Here is a 17808-nt window from a genome sequence, read left to right on the forward strand (position 1 = left end):
TAAAATTAAAACTTTCAGATACGTTTTAGCAAGTCTCCTCTTCTAATAGAATTAATCATACTGAAAATTGGTTTAGCCATGGTTTTGGCACCTGCCTACCAATGAGGTTTTTTTTTTTTTTTTTTTTTTTTTTTTAGAAATAGAGTAGCAAGTAAGTAAAATTACATTGTAAATACTTATAAGACTTATTTTTAAAACAAACATTTTCAGTTAATAAAAGAACAGAAACCGATGTGACTGTATACAGCTGCATTTCTGTTCTATTGGGGTATTTATTGCTAGTTAACATGAGAGAAGAATATACAATTAAATTAATTCACATTTCCAGACTGTCCATGGGCCCAAAAGAGTTAAATCTAACATTTTTTATAATAGGGAAAACATGAAGTCATTTTTAAAATCTCTTAATATAGAATGCTAAAGACATTGAATGACAAGGACTTCAGCATAAACCTACTTCACATTTTTCCCCTTTACCAAAAATATCTGCGACTATGGTGTGTGAGCCCAAGAAAGTTTTCTTATCTTGATTCAAGTGAGTACAAATACTAGTGAGTTAAAACTAGCTCCTGCTAGTTTTACATACTAGAAGGTATGTTGTCACTGGTCAACTTTATGAATGTTTTTGAGAGAAATTTGTGTTCCTTTCCACTTGTATATCAAAGGGGATCAGGTGCAATATTGTTGAATCTAAATTTTTTTTAAAGTAGGTAGGTAACGTGTCAGTCATTGATTTGTTCAGTATATTATCCTAGCAAACAAGTTTCAAACCCTGTCCCTTAGAAATTCCATAATTGAAGAAAAACATTGAGATTATTAGAAAAATGATAGCACTTATCGTAGAAAATCAGTAATATGCCCAGTGATGTTAATTTAAGATTAACTAAAATGTGCTTGATTTTCCTAGAAAACCAGTGATATGCCCAGTAATGTTAATTTAAGATTAATTTAAATGGGCTTAGAAGGAATTTTTCTCACAGTTGAAAACCAGTAATGTTCACCTGTGTTTGTTACACAGTAAGAGCAGCAGTTGGTTTTAAAATGCTTTGTATGAAAACTAGAATTCATTTTTCTTACTGTTGTTAGAAAAGAAATTTCATTTTATTTTCCCTGGAAAATAAACATGTCTCTGGAAGTTTTTGGAAAGAGATATTGGTCCTTTTACTTAGGAAACTGCTGAAAATATAAACACATATTTATCCCTTTTACAGAATTTCAAGTTGTATTTTTAACAGGCTAATTAGGTAAAAAGAATCTTCCGTGGAGATGGCTTGTATGTGCCTGAGTCAGTCTTTGTACTTCAGACGTTTTGCTTTATAATACCTGTGGTTTCAGTTCTTGTGGTATTTTTACTGGAACTATCTAAATATTTTCCCCCTCAGGCTTGAAATTACCATTAAAAACTCTAGTAGCAGATTGGAGTTTATGGCAGAATTTGCCATTTTATGTAATATGAAAATACTGAAAGCATTGAGATATTTATCAAATCTGTCATTTGTTGAAATATTCTTAGATATTAGGGAATTATTGAATTAGACTATCATTTTAATATTTATCTAGATTTTTAGGTTATTTTCTTTGGGATTACGTTGTTTAAATTTTGATTACCGAAGGAACAAGGAAAGTGAGAAGGCCTAAGTTTCAGAAATTTTTAAATGTTACCATTTAGGTTACTGATATATGCTTTTTTTTTTTTTTTTTTTTTTTTTTTTTTTAAGACGGAGTCTTGCACTGTCGCCCAGACTGGAGTGCAGTGGCAATGGTGTGATCTCAGCTCACTGCAAGCTCCGCCTCCCAGGTTCACATCATTCTCCTGCCTCAGCCTCCTGACTAGCTGAGACTACAGGCGCCCGCCACCATGCCCGGCTAATTTTTTTTATTATTATTTTTAGTAGAGATGGGGTTTCACTGTGTTATCCAGGATGGTCTCGACCTCCTGACCTCATGATCCACCCGCCTCGGCCTCCCAAAGTGCTGGGATTACAGGCGTGAGCCACTGCGCCCAGCCAAGGATATATGCTTTTTATCTGAGGATGTATATAAGATCAGTATTAATACAAAATAACAGATCAGAATGATCTGAAAATGATCAGAAAAATATATAGGAAATGGTTTTTAGGAAATGTCTTTAATTTTCTCTGATATCTTCCTAGCACTCTAATACAAATGGGTATAGTTATTAAAGCAAAATTTTATTTACTCTTCTTAAAAGAGCCTCTTTTTACTAAATTCCAATCCCATAAAATTGAGAAAGAGACATGGGTTGTATATATTGCTACGTGTGGAACTTGCGTAGATTAATCAATTTATTTATTTATTCATTTTTTTTTTCTTTTATTATACTTTAAGTTTTAGGGTACATGTGCACAATGTGCAGGTTAGTTACATATGTATACATGTGCCATGTTTGGTGTGCTGCACCCATTAACTTGTCATTTAACATTAGGTATATCTCCTAATGCTATCCCTCCCCCCTCCCCCCAGATTAATCAATTTAAATTAAATTAATAATTTAAACACTAAAAATCTTAAAATTACCTAGTTTTTTGAATGCTGACTCTTAAATGTACATATGCTTAAAATTATAGGCCTAGAGTCTTAATTACAGTTTTTTAATATAGGGTTTGACCTGGGTTGGGATATTCTTTTATTAATATTTCATTGACCTAGACTTTTTTTTTTTTTCTCAAGGTTTTAGGTACTTAGCTAGATCTTGTAAAGTTTTTATTGTTTAATACTAAATATAATTATATAAGATACCAGATAAAGTGGATGTTCCTGAATATAATATCATATTTTCATTTTAAAATTATGATGGCAGGGCAAGTTAGCCAAATAATTTTGTTATGTTTTGTTACTTTGGTAAATTGATGTAAATTATGCTGAATATAATTTCTGTTATTGGCACAGACCTTTCACATATTTGAGGCCCACATTAGCGTGTGTTAAAGTGTTTAATGATACTGAACATATGGGAACTTAAAGAGAACTGCTATTCAAACCATCTTGACAAAAGATCTAACAGAAGCCCAAACATAGTGAAATCTTGGTAATTAGTTCTGTGTTGGACCATGTTCAGAAAAGTAGGTAGCCTTCTCCATACTTCTTTATTCCAAATTAGGTGAAGGTGTTCTCAAAATGTTTCAGAATGTAGGCTGACTTTGGTTTTCTTAGGCCTTGAAGCACATAAGAATTCTAGAATATGTTTCAAAATAATTTATACAATCTTAAACTGCCGGATAAGAAGGATCTAAATCTGCCTTGTTCAGTATAGTAAGCAGTAGCCACAAGCAGTATTTAAATAAAATAAAATAAAATTTAAAATTCAGTTTCTCAATTGCACTATCCACATTTCAAGTGTTCAGTAGTCATGTGACTGATAGCTACTGTATTGTACAGCATAGATACGGAACATTTCCATCATCACAGAAACCTATTGGACAATACTCATATAAAGCATTCTTCTTATTTTCTGTGGAAGGGTATCTCAATTAGGATATATAGCTATTGTCACATACTAAAGAAAATTCCCATCTCTTCATCCCTTGGTACCTTAAAAAGTATCAGCCACCACACAGGCTGTAGATCTGATTTTTAAAGTATGGATAATCACACCATGCTTTAACTTTGTCTTATCTGAATGTGACTAGATAAAAAGAAAAACTATCTTCTTTAGCAAAACCTCTGCTTCTTTGCATTTTTTCTCAATAACAGAAAGTCATTACGCCTCCCTGCCTCACAAGAATGTTTCCAGTGTTAATTACAGGAAAGATGTATTGAAATCGAGAGCACAGTGCACAGCTCCAGCCTCTAGAGCTGAACAGAGTGTATGCCTTGAATTTGGGGTTATCCATATGACTAAACTGAATCATCTGAGCAGGAAAAAAGGGATCTGTCTTTGCCAGTTTGACTCAAATTTGTTGTATGAACTAAAACATTTTAAGGATAATTATGTAATCACTGTGAAGAGTAACTGTAAATATTCATCCCAAAGTATACTATCCCTTTTTAAAAGTTGCTTTACGGTGAGTGTGATGAGGACATGCAAGATATGATTTATGTGATTGCGTTGTTTTCAACAGACTTAATAGTGAAGGGGAGGTATCTGTTAGATTTTCTATTTTATTCTTCCAAGTTAGAACTGTCTGTTCACCACACATTCAAAATTTTTCTTAACACCATTCTTAGAGGGGAAAGTATAAGTGCTTGGGAAAAGAGTTGGTCCCATGGTAGCTACTGTGAGCTTGGCATTCTGAAAAGGAGGATAGAATTCTAAAGAAAATATCTACCACATTTTAATAGAACATCTTAAATTACTTAATTTTACCCTTTTTCTATTCTCTTTAAAATAGTTTGACTCCTGGTAGATTTTAATTATCTTAAAGCATATATATTCCTTTCTCTTAATTTTAAGATCGACTGTCATGATACAAAATCATCCTTCAGATTTAAACCAATGATTAGATCATTAACTAGGGGAAAAAAACTGGCATCTATGTTCAGGTGATCAGATGACATAAGCAGTCTGATTTTAATTTGTGGCCAGTACTGATTGTAACCAAGAGAGACTTGCTCTTTTTGTGGAATTGGCTGACTATTTCCCTACATCTGGAGTTAATAAAGCCTTTGAGACCACATCAGTTGTGCTTTGCCGCAAGAAGTCTTTGATCTGAAAAATCAAGACTGGCACAACTGCTGCTTCATAACATTGCATCTATGTTTTTGCAAGCTATAGTTAAGATACCAAAAGTAAAGTTATTTAGCTTATTTAGCCTGTGTTAGAAATGCTGGTAAATGTACCTCTTTGAAAGCCATATATTTCAAAACATTCTTATGATGAAAATTTTGAACTCGTGTTAATACAAAAATGATATAGTAGGATTTTTTTTTGCCATTTTCATTTATAAGGTCTGTCCTTTAAAAGTCCATTGTTTTCAAAATCTGTTTGAAAGAAATAGCATTAAAAACAAACTTTACCTCTAAAATGTGCCATTTTCTCCATACAACTTCAAAATTTTTGCGTAAGGGAAGGCAAGTCTCTTTCTGTGCTTTGTGTGGTTTATCTTAGTTTTCTTGCTCTCCATGACAACCGTGAATAAACCATTTTCTGATCAGCATATTCTCTTTTATTTAGCAGCGATTTGTAAATCAGGAAAGTTTATCCTTTGACTTCCTTCTGTAATTGTAACCATTTTCAAAATTTAAAAATGTAAGTATATTAGTGTGTGAAATACAGCGAATTGAATGGGAATAAGGATAAAGAAATATAAATTGATAAATTATGTAAAAATTTAAACTGACAAATTATGTCCATTTTTGTGTGAAATGACACATCAAAACTGGAGTGTTTTCATAATTATCAAGTATGAGAGACTGACTTACTGTTTCAGTCTATAACCTGGATAAAATTAGAGAATTTTATATTTCATACTTACATATCAAGGATGATGTGTATAGTAAGTGCACATTTGTGATAAAAAGCATGTGTTCGGGTGCTGTCTTCTAAATTTGATTCACATTGTACTTTCTGGCTAGGTCTGTGGATTTATTCTGTTTTTTTGTTGTTCATGGTTTAGCTTGGCTTGAGGAAATCTATATAGAAAGGGGACAGAGAACTTCTAGCTAGGGCTAAGTTTAGAAGATGAAACTTGATTAAAAGAAAATAGTCCAAAGTTCCTTTCCTGAAAACCTTATCTGCCTATCAGCCTGTACAATACATTGCAGACACATTGGTATATAGTCAGTTATTTTATTTCAACACAATCATTTGTGAAATACCTTTAAACCAGAAAAGTATGCTTATGAGGAACAAACCATTTTATCTGCCATATTCCCCAAACTAGGGGATCCTTCTAGATGATTCTTGGGAATATACTGTATCTTTTCTAAGACTTCTCAGGTACCACAGATGTGTGTTTTTACCTCTGGGATGTGAAAGGTAGGAAACAAACCTGAATGCCAGTCCATTTAAAAAAAAAAAAGTCACCTGTGCTAGTATTATCAGGACTAGCACGAAGAGTAAAAATTGACTTTTTAACCTTTTATTTAGAATAAACTGTATATATAACTAAGCTCATGTTAGACGAAAACTGTAATGAACAGCATTTGAGTAGTGAACAGGTAATATTTAGCAACATAACTACTTCTGTTAGAATGAAAGGTGATACTGTTAGCTATAACTTATTGCCTGCATACTTCGTACAAGGCACTGTGCTAAACATTTTATATATAATTTCATCTGATCTGCCCATCAGTCTCCTCATGCAAGTAGTGTTAACACCATTTTACAAAAGAGGGAATTGAATCTTGGGAAGATTAGGGTAATTTGCAAGGGGTCTTTACAGTTAATACCTCCAAGAAAGAATAAATTAATATAATTGACAGTTTATGTAAATAAAAAGTTGGGATCCCATTTTAATCTGGGTGCGCTTCCTTAACTCTTTTTCTATTATTAGTCTATAGAAATATATGCTTGGGGTAAAATATCAAATTATGTAGAAGAACATAAAGTAAAAGTCTTCCTTCCCAATTCGAAGTCCAAAGAGGTAACCATTATTGAGTTTCTTGTGTGTAATTCTAGAAATTTTCTATGCTTATGCAAACAAATTAATACATGATTTTTAAAATACATGCTTCCATAATGTTAATGTTATTCTGTTTCAGTCAACACTTAAAATTTTTATTTTGTTGAATTTTTTGTATCATTTCAAACTAAAACAAAATAATTTGTTTGTTTCATACACTGCTCATAATAGCTTACCTTTCTCTTCTTCCTGACTTCTGGTTTACTTCTATAGACTGTGCATCACTTTAGATATTATTTGTTTTCCACCTTTGTTTCAATAGTTATGAGAATAGTGTGATCACATTTTGATCATTAAGGTTATTTGGCTGCCCATTTAGTTTTCCAGAGGAATGCAAATGTTGGCCATTTGCTAATTCAAAATGTTTATAGTTTGCTTATCTAAAGCAAGGGTTTATCAAAGGAAATTAATACTGCTCTAACAAATTAAATGAGATTTTTCTTAAAGCTTTGCCAGACTTGAAAGTGTACTGGAAATGTGTTTTTAATTTATTTGCTAACTCTACCAAGTTAAGGAAGTTCCTGAACAATTGTGTTGTGCCTTTGATAGTTACCCCTTAATAGTAACAAAGATAGCAATGTTTAATCAAACTCATGTTGATTTTATTTGGTGAATCTTGTAACACTGAAAAGAATGAATTTTATGAACCCAGATTTTATGTTATGCTATATTGAAAGGACATTTGTTTGCTCGATCAGATTTTGAATCCTGAGCCTATGTGAGGTTTGTGTTTGGTAAGCCAGCTCAATGCTTATTCAGTCACTTGGTGTAACTGTCATACCAAGATGCATTACAGAGATATTTAGAGTAGTAGTTTTCCCTAATAACCAGCTTAAAAAAAAAAAACATGTGGATGGTAATTAAGTTTGACATTATTTATGTGGATTTAGGCAGTATTCTTTTCATTTGTGGTAGCCCTTTATAAAAATTAGATAGGCCTTTTTAAGCCCCTTACAGAATATAGAACTCATTTTACATAAGTAATATGATAGTCATTTACATTTTAATTAAATGTGCTGTTTAATTTTAAGGTATATGCACCATCCCCAAATTCAGATGATTTCAACCGTGAATCTCCTAGTTATCCATCTCCTAAGCCACCAACCAGTATGTTCGCTAGCACTTTCTTTATGCAAGGTAAGTACTACCAAACAATTGCCAAATACTACTGCAGTCATCTGTATATCAGCCAGTATTTTAAAGTATTAGGAAAGAGAATACCTATATTCAGGCCTTATTTAGGCATTTTTTTTGGCTAAATTAAAATTTAGCTTTATAATTTTCCAGTGGTGTTTATTGCTGACTGCAATTTAATTGAATTATCTAGCAAACCATTGGAGTGCTGGTCCAGTATTGATTGAATTTATAAAGGTCTTAAATTGAGAAAAATTAATAGAGCTGTTCTTGCTCATTTTAGAATTGAAATGTATGAAAACTGTTAACTCTAGTTTCTTGTTTAATTTATGGATTCATATCATGCCTAGAATTACCAATATAAAGAAAGAGTGAATATCATAGAACAGAGTAAGACTTGTTAAGAGAGAAAAAGTGTTGCATTTCCTTTAATTCATGTCTAGCAAATCATTTTTATTTGGTCTCCTGTGGTTTTGGACTATGGGAAACAAATATATGGGAGCAATAAATTATTACATAAATGGTTCCTTGACTTTATATTGTTGAGTGGAGTCATTGCTGACACATTTCATTTGAAAGCTAACTATAATATGGTAATTATCAATTACTTAGTTTTACTATTAGAAAAACTTCTTTGTTCCACAGTTTCAAAATGTTTGATATAATGCACATTGCGTGTTATGCATTAATAACTTTCTGTGTATGTATAAGTATACCACTTAACTAAAAATAAATCTAGCCTATTCCCAAATTTGGAATTTTTACTATCTTCCTTGATATGAATTGAGATCTTCTGAAGATTTTTATAATGGCCTGCCTATTACAGCTTAGATTACTTTTTTCCCTAACTAAAATGTTAATTTCTTCTTTTTAAATAGTAATTTTACAGTTTAGAGGGAAGAACAGTGGGTAGAAGACTAGGTTGGAAAAGGGAGGAAAAATATCTGGAGGGTACCCCTTGAATTTTTATAAGCAACATCAAAATACAAGAAAATTTTTAGCTAAGGAAAATTTTATATTTCTCTTTTTGTCTTAGATGGGACCCACAATTCTTCTGACCTTTGGAGTTCATCAAATGGGATGAGCCAGCCTGGTTTTGGTGGAATTCTGGGGACCTCCACTTCCCACATGTCTCAATCCAGTAGTTATGGCAACCTTCATTCACATGACCGCTTGGTAGGCTATAACACGTGACTAGGGTACAGCAACACTTTGTCCTCACTTGTGTTTCTTTTTGGATTAGAAGTGTAAAATCTAAGTCTGCCAAAACTTCTGAAGTTTGAAGTACTTCAAGGCTTACCGCGTTTACCATGCCTTTCTAAAAAATAAATGACAATAAGTAGTGCTCTTTAGCTGTAACTTGTAAATGCTCTTTTTGACCTGTTATCATAGTTGTCCATTTTATGTGAATATTATTCAGAAAATATATTTAATAGATCATATCTCTTTCCATCTAGAGTTATCCTCCACACTCAGTTTCACCAACAGACATAAACACGAGTCTTCCACCAATGTCCAGCTTTCATCGCGGCAGTACCAGCAGTTCACCTTACGTTGCTGCCTCACACACTCCTCCCATCAATGGATCAGACAGCATTCTAGGTGAGCTTTTTGAGTTGGCAAAACTTCCTAAAAGTTTGTGGACTTTCAGTGACCCCGATATCTTTATATATATATATGTATGTTTTATATATATAAATGTTATATATATGTATATATGTTATATATGTATATGTGTGTTATATGTATATATGTGTTATATATGTATATATGTGTGTATATATGTTATATATGTATATGTGTTATATATGTATATGTGTGTTTTTTATATATGTATATATAGGTATATATGTATATATGTTTGTGTATATATGTATATATGTATATATATGTGTATATATGTGTGTGTATATATATGTATGTTGTTTGTTTGTTTGAGACAGAGTCTCTCTCTCTCACCCAGGCTGGAGTGCAGTGGCACAGTCATGGCTCACTGCAGCCTCAACCTCCAAGGTTGAGGAGGTGATCCTCCTGCCTCAGCCTCCCCAGTAGCTGGGACTACAGGCATGTACCACCATACTCAGCTAATTTTTTTTTACTTTTTGTTGAGACAGGGTCTCATTATGTGGCCGGGGCTGGTCTGAAACTCCTGGCCTCTAGTGATCCTTCCACCTCGGCCTCCCAAAATGCTAGCATTATAGACATGACCCAGCACACGTGGCCTCTTTTTTTATTTTTATTCATTTATGTATTTATTTTTGAGACAGGGTCTCACTCTCTCAGCTCTCTCACTCTGTGGCTACAACCTCCGCCTCCAGGCTCAGGTGATACCCCAGCTTCAGCTTCCCAAGTAGCTGGGACTACAGGCACACACCACCATACCCAGCTAATTTTCCATTTTTAGCAGAGATGGGGTTTGTCCACATTTCTCAGACTGGCCTTGAACTCGTGGGCTCAAGAGATCTGCCTGCCTCAGCCTCCCAAATTGCTGGGATTACAGGCATGAGCCACCGCGCCTGGCCTTGGCCCCTCTTTCGATATATTTTTTAGTGTTGAATTTAAAAGTGAAAGACAGGAAGACAAGAAGCTTTTTTATTATCATCAATATAGACACTGGTAAAGACCTCATCTTTAGTTTATTAATAAGTACAACACATGTAGAGTATTTCCTAGTTTACTGTAACAGATGTGAGATGATGATAGAGAACACCCTTGGAATAATGGCAGAGTGCTAAAATATAATACTTGCTTGTAAAATTCTTGATTTATTTCTCTATGAAATATCCAGGAACCAGAGGGAATGCTGCTGGAAGCTCACAGACAGGTGATGCACTTGGAAAGGCTTTGGCATCTGTGAGTATTGATTTTACACATTCTACTGAATGAATTTTACACTACTGAATACAGTGATTAGATTTTGTAGGTGATAAGTATCTAAAGAGTATAGATGTAACAAGATCAATTTCATTACACATTTAGAGTTATTCTCGGTTTGTATTGATATATGCCCTTAAATGCTATGCCTGTGGTACAGCAAATGCTGGGAAGAGGAAAAAGAAGTCATCTAAAGCACCAACTGCCAAGATTAATCATTAAATCTATTTCTTCTAAATACATAGTTAGTAAGTGGTCCATTAAAATAAGTCAAGTGGAACCACGAAAGATAACTCAGTATTCTGATCCAGAGAATGAAGTACCTTTATAAGAAACTTTTCCAAGATCAAAAGCATTTTATGTACTGTATTTTTTTTTAAAGTCAACTGCACCTGATTTACTCAAGGAATAGGAAATGAGAGCCTTCTCCCCAAAAAAGCCAGATTCATTGAAGAATCATGTTAAAATGAGTAAAAGTGATTTGAAGGAATCCGATAGTATTTTCTTGAGCAACTAGTTCACATACATCACTTCAGAACATTAATGACAAAGCAGTGATTATATTTTAATATCTGATTCTTAAAACATTAAAATCTCCTCTTTCGGAATGCCAAAACTAGAAGGGAGAGCAGTTTTCAGTAAATCTACAACAGTTTCAAATCTAATTATTTAAAAGGGGCACTTGTGCTTTGCGCTTCCTAAAATTTCACTTTAGATGATTTTTTTTCTTCTTGTTTTCTGAGTAGTATGCCTCTTAGAATTCCCACAGAATTGTCTTTTATTTTCTATGAAGTGCAATTAACTGTCAGATACATTTGTTGCCATTCATGGAGAAGGCAGAGCACGTTAATACCTGAGTGGTAGGAAGCAACTGTTGAGCATTTAAGGAGATAAACCTCTTTGTATATTGTTGGTGTAAATAAATTTTTCTCTACAGCTGAATACCAGCTTCTTGGAAAATGAAGCCAAGTCAGACTCATTTACTACATAGTAGAGATGGAGCACACACAAAATGCAGCTCAGTGAATGTTTGTTGAATTCTGTCTTGGATCATATAATAATAATAGTAATGACAATAACAAAACCCACAAAATATTTCAGCTATAATTTGAATGCGCACCTATACTGAGCATTTACATGCCCTGTTTCATTTAATCCTCAAGAAAGCCCTGTAAGGTTGGCATTGTTATCCCCACATTACAGATGAGGAACTAAGGTTTAAAAGGTGAAGTAACTTGAGCTCAGAAAGATTAAGCAGCTCGCCCTAGGGGAATCATAAGCTAGCATGGATAAAGCCCATATATATTAGAACCCTGATCAGACCAGCTTCAGACTCTGCTCCTAACCACTGCTGCATACATCCAGAAAGTGCGGTGCTGTGGTAATTATCTTACAAGGTATTGATGAGAATGAAAGAAAATTGTCTCACCCTTTTTTCGACTTACTGTCACCTGATGAAAATGACCTATTTAGGAAGACAGTTTTATTCTATACTAAACCTGTAAGGTCTCCAGGTATTTGATTGGCTTGCCATATTCCTTCTCCTGATTCTGGAAGAGTCCAGTAACTGATATTTTACATGTAACAGGACAAATAACATTTGAACTTTCAGTGCTAGATAATTTTTTAAAATTTAACCTGCATTTTGGGGGCTTTTTTTCTCAAAGGTCATTTGTTTGTTTTATTAAAGAAAACTTCTATCAGGGAACCTTGGCCTACAGGCAGGCAAGAATTTGTGATGTTCTCAGTGGCCCTTCAAGTTCATTTTGTTACCCTTCACATCCTTGAGTATCTTCCCCTGTTATAAACAGCATACTAGCCAAACCAAAATGGCATTTGGAAAAGAAAACCCAAATTCACCGTGAATGGAATCCAGTGAAGAAATGTTTAATCTAGTTAGTGGGTGGGCTTTGGTTGTCATGGAAACTCAGCTCTGTCATCCTGTGTTGTTACTAGGCAGGAGCAGCCAGGTCATTCCATAAATCATTTCTGTCATAGCTGACGGTGATGCATTCCATCTGCTCCATCACTGCATGCCATAGTCTGCACATTTCAAATCCCTTCCTTCAATCCATCTGCTTCCCCACTTCCCAGCCGGACACCTCCCCAAATACATTCTTTTTCCAACTTTCCTTACAGACTCGCATTCACTTTAATATATGTTTAGTGCACTCAAAACGTACTGAAAAAGAAAAACATTACATTATCTGGGGATAGGAAGGATTAGAAGAGATGAGGAGAAGGAAATTAATGAGGATTACTTTTGAGAGTCTGACATGCATATCATAATTTTATGTCAGGTATTATAGATATTTTGAAATGGTGACTGACTCTTTTGAAATTTTAAGTTCTTTAGAATGTGACGCTTTTAATATAGCCTCTGGTTTTAGATGGAGAAACACTATGCTATTGTCATTAAAAATTAATTCTATTTCCCCAATTGTCTAATATATGTCTTAAAAGATCTTTCATATTGTGAAACATCAGAGGGTACAACCTTTGTTCTTCAGTTTAGGTATTAAAGAGCACACAGAATACTGTGTGATTAAACATGTAAGGCCAGATAATGCATTTGCAAAGGTTCCTTTATTTTAGGTTTAAGCCTGCATAATTGTGGTCTTAATCTCAGGATAGCAAGAAAGAGAATTGTACATGAAAGTATTTACACAAAGTTCCCAAAGCCCTGTGGATTATGCATTAGTTTAGATAAAAAAAAAGAAAAAAAAAAAACCTAGGGTAGATAGAAGGAAAGGAAAATCTGGGTATTCGTGCCATTTCTAATGTGTTTCCCTGAACATTTGCCAGACAATAACCCTTTAAGATTGTGCCCGTGGAGAGTTATATAGAGGAAGAAACATCTGGTTTCTTTCGGTGCCTAATACCATATCAAAACACTTGGTCTTTAATTTAGAGGAGATCAAACAAGAAGACTGTTTAACTTTGTTGATTATATCAGACTTCTTTGTGATAATTTATGTTTTGATTTCTACCTCAGAGCAAGGGAAAAAGAGAGAGAGAGAGTGTGTGTGTGTGTGTGTGTGTGTATATGTATGTGTGTATTAATCTGGATAAATGGTCAGTAGTCTCTAACAAAAGAAAAGAAAATTCAGGGAAGTTGATGTTTAAAAGTAATTCATGAAATAACTTTCTTTGTTCCTTAGACTCAATAACATTAGCATAATAAAGATTAACTGAAATGTGCACTGTAGTGTTTAAAAAATTGGGCTCACAGTTCCGGGGTTGGGCTTGGGAGCAGTCCATTGTTTCTTTTTTGTCTAAAGCCCTTTTCATTAGCCTCTGGCTTATTGGCACCCTGCTGATTGGAATAGACCATGACTGATAGGAGGAGGAGTCTCATTTGTTGGAGTAAAATGAGGCATATTACCGTTTAAGCCTGGCAGAAGGCATTGGGAGTTATTCATTATTGGTCATTTAACAGTATGAGGACCATGGACTGCATGCAGAATGAGTGCTTACTTTGTTTATGCTCTAGACTCTAAATCACTCTTTACCCCCATTTTTTTAAGTAACTGATTTTGTTCTTCTTTTTATTCTTACCTTCAAACATCAATGTAGGAGTTCTTTTAAGTCCAGAAAGTATGAAAAGAAACATATTCCTGATTTAGAATAAAGCCAAATAAAGCCTGTGTTTAGAAGTTAAAGTAGCACAATTTTTATAGAATAAGTATGATTTGTTTGCGATTTGGTAATAAAATAAACACTCAGAGATAAAGCTTAGTGAAATGACCTGTGATCCAAAAGGCTGTGTTATCATGCTTTTCAAATGTTGTATTGCTCCTCCTCTCCCACCATACACATTCTTTTTATGAAAGTAAAAGTGATTTTTTAAAAAGTCCTGTAACTTACAGGGCTATCTGTAAATTTAGGAAAAGTATTGATAACAATTCTGTCTGTCATCACTTTAACTGGCAAAGTAGAACCAGTGACTGTGATGGATGAGTGGAAAAATTGGCTTTTATTGTACAAATGGAGAAGCTGCTTTTGGAAAAAATACCAGAAATGATATATTTTTATACTTGATATGTTTTTGGTGCTGTTTCTCCCGTTTAGACAGTGATTTTTTTTTTTAAGTTTACACCAGTTTTACATATAGCATTGGGGCATTTCACCAAGTCATTTAAAGATAGTGCTCTTATATGACTCTAAACTATTACCTCTTCCTTCCTTGATATAAAGGAGCTTTCACCAGTTGTTGACATGGTTAGGGATTGTTTAAGTGTAAGGACAGAGTTTTCAGGGAAAATCGGGATTGGTAGTCCATTTCTACCCTCAAAAGCCCATGCCTACCTAACAGTGTGATATGGACAGCTTAGTACATCAACACTAATTCCCAGAAATAGTGAAACCTCACCATATGATTATTCTCAAAGCTTATGCCATAAAACTGATTTGAAATTAAGTCATATTTATAACAAGCTCTTTTGCCCTTGGTATTTCTGTTGCTGACCCACATTGTATAAATACCAAGATAAATACTACCATTTATTGAGTCCTGCTTTTTATCAGTTAGTATTATAGCAAATTTCAATTGTAGTTTAATCACTCAAGTTAAAAATATATATATTGGGCACCTACTTTTACAAGATACTGGCATACAATAATGGATTCAATGTTGACCAGTATAAGTTTCCTGTCTTCAAAGAGCTTGTAGTCAAGGAGAGAAGACAGATATACAAATAATGATAATGTATAACACAGTGTGAAGTAAAAGAGCAGAGAGAAGTTCAGACTATTTTCTAAGAGTATAAGGAAGGTGAAAATGTATAAATGGGGAAGTGACATTGGAACTGAGCTTTGATAAGTAGAATTCCATCTGGGAGAGGTTAAGAAACAAGCGTTCTGAAAGGAGGACAAGCTGTGTTTAGAAAATGAAAAAAATATTTTGTTTGCATAATAGGGTATGTAGGTTAAAAGTAGACTATAAGGGCTAGGCAACACCACGCCTGTAATCCCAGCACTTTAGGAGGCTGAGGCAGTGGGATCACCTGGGTCGGGAGTTCGAGACCAGCCTGACCAACACGGAGAAACCCCGTCTCTACTAAAAATACAAAATTAGCCTGGCATGGTGGTGCATGCCTGTAATCCCAGCTAGTCGGGAGGCTGGGGCAGGAGAATCGCTTGAACCCAGGAAGCAGAGGTTGTGGTGAGCTGAGATTGCACCACTGCACTCCAGCCTAGGCAACAAGAGCGAAAGTCCATCTCAAAAAAACAAAGAGGAAGAAAAATTAGCCGGGTATGGTGGTACACGCCTATGTAATCCCAGCTGCTTGGGAGGCTGAGGCAGTAGAATCACTTAAACCTGGTTGCAGTGAGCCGAGATCGTGCCACTGCACTTCAGCCTGGGCAACAGAGCAAGACTCCATCTCAAAAAAAAAAAAAAAAAGTTTTTGAGGACAGTAGTTCAGGGCAATTATGTATAGGATGGAAAGAGAGGGGAGTAACTAGAAATATAAACACTTAAGTAGTCCAGCCGCAAGTTTGAGTAAAGATTTAAAGTGGTGTCATGGCAGTGATTATGACATGTGCCTGTCCCAGAAACATTAGAGAATTGTGGATATCGGTGTCTCCAGAGGGAAGGGTAGAGTGGCAGAGGAAAAGAGGAGAGAGTACTTATGGTAACCATAAGCATGGTGCTACTAACCTAAATAGAAGAGTAGAGATGGGAAGGATGGGAAGCTTGGGGTGGTGATAAAAAATTTGGGTTTGGACATAACTGCGCTTGAGATGAAAAGAGATCCTGTCCAGATAGAAAAGTCTAGCAACCAGTGTGACAAGAGAGATACCAATTTAGGAGTCATACCTGGATGTGATAGTTGATATTTGACAAAGAATACTATTACCAAGAGATAAAGCACAGGGAAATGAAAGAATACTGAGACTAGAACTCTGGGGAAACCTACATTAAGGGAAATGGAAGAGTAAAATAGAGATGGACCCTAGGGACTTTATCAAATACAAAGACTGAAAAGAATCACTTAAATGGAAATTCCTGGCAAGGATTATGCTTTTCATTCTTAATGACAACTGTATATCTGTACATTGAACCCTCACCATTTATCTGCACTGTTGTGGAATCTGAGGCTACATTAATAAGACAAATTCCTCATTCTTCTGGGGCTTATATTTTACCATGGGAAAGGATAAAAAAACAGGTAACAGACAAATGTAGATGATTAGAAATACAGTGTAAGCACTATGAAGAATACGAAAGAAGGAGTATGTAACAGAAAATGCTGCTTCATGAGTTGGGCTAGTTGACAGTTTTGCATAGAACTGACGATTTCTCACTCATCCATCCACCATCAGTGTTATCAGCCTTTCCCTCCCTTGCCAATATTGTAGTCAAGACATATTTCATAAAGATGAGCATCAATTGCTCATAAATGGTATAATTATTTGAATTATGAACATAAGAAATGGTGGTTTTCAGTGGTAAAGAGGTATGTTGAGGGCCGGGTTCAATGGCTCACGCCTGTAATCCCAGCACTTTGGGAGGCCAAAGCAGGCAGATCACTTCAGCCTAGGAGTTCAAGACCAGCCTGGGCAACATAGCGGAACCCCATCTCTACAAAAAATACAAAAATGTTGGGTGTGGTGGTGAGGGCTTGTAGTCCCAGCTCCTTGGGAAGTCAAGGTGGAAGGATTGCTTGAGCCCAGGAAGTTGAGGCTGCAGTGAGCCATGATTGCACCACTGCATTCCAGCCTGGGTGACAGAGCAAGACCCTGTCTCAAAAAAAAAAAAAAAAAAAAAAGAAAGGGAAAAGGTATGTTGAAACATGTTTTGTTTCTGTTGAAGTTTGATGACCTTCCCTAATTTACTTATGTGGTTGAAATAAATCAATGTATGTGTGCAAAGCCACTAAGAACAAAAATGTACTTTCCCAAGCTAATTTTCCCATGTGTCCAATGAATGTTTTAAAAGGTAACAACTTAAAAACCAATAATATTGATTTTTTTTTTTTCATACACTGTCTTACTCTGTCACCCAAGCTGGAGTGCAGTGGCTCGATCTCGGCTCACTGAAACCTCCACCTCCCAGATTCAAGCGATTCTCCTGCCTCAGACCCCGCGAGTAGCTGGGATTACAGTCGCCCACCACGCCCGACTAATTTTTGTATGTCTAGTAGAGACGGGGTTTCAGCATGTTGGCCAGGCTGGTCTCGAACTCCTGACCTCAGGTGATCCACCTGCCTCG

At 35.1% G+C, this 17808-nt stretch overlaps 1 protein-coding gene across 34 annotated transcripts in view; it reads left to right on the forward strand.

Moving 5' to 3' along the window:
- The window catches only part of TCF12 (transcription factor 12), a 373221-nt gene that overhangs the window by 305447 nt on the left and 49966 nt on the right, over positions 1–17808 (forward strand). For 30 of the 34 annotated variants that reach the window (NM_001322151.2, XM_011521960.4, XM_047432971.1 and 27 more), the window contains 4 exons: positions 7616–7721; positions 8755–8894; positions 9176–9320; positions 10507–10571. In NM_001322151.2, the coding sequence (NP_001309080.1) occupies positions 7616–7721; positions 8755–8894; positions 9176–9320; positions 10507–10571 (456 nt within the window). The remainder of the gene's footprint in view (positions 1–7615; positions 7722–8754; positions 8895–9175; positions 9321–10506; positions 10572–17808) is intronic. The other 4 variants (XM_047432977.1, XM_047432978.1, XM_011521966.3 and 1 more) reach the window with 1 other exon arrangement.

The sequence above is a fragment of the Homo sapiens genome, chromosome 15, assembly GCF_000001405.40.
Source record: "Homo sapiens chromosome 15, GRCh38.p14 Primary Assembly".
In the NCBI taxonomy this organism is placed as follows: domain Eukaryota; kingdom Metazoa; phylum Chordata; class Mammalia; order Primates; family Hominidae; genus Homo; species Homo sapiens.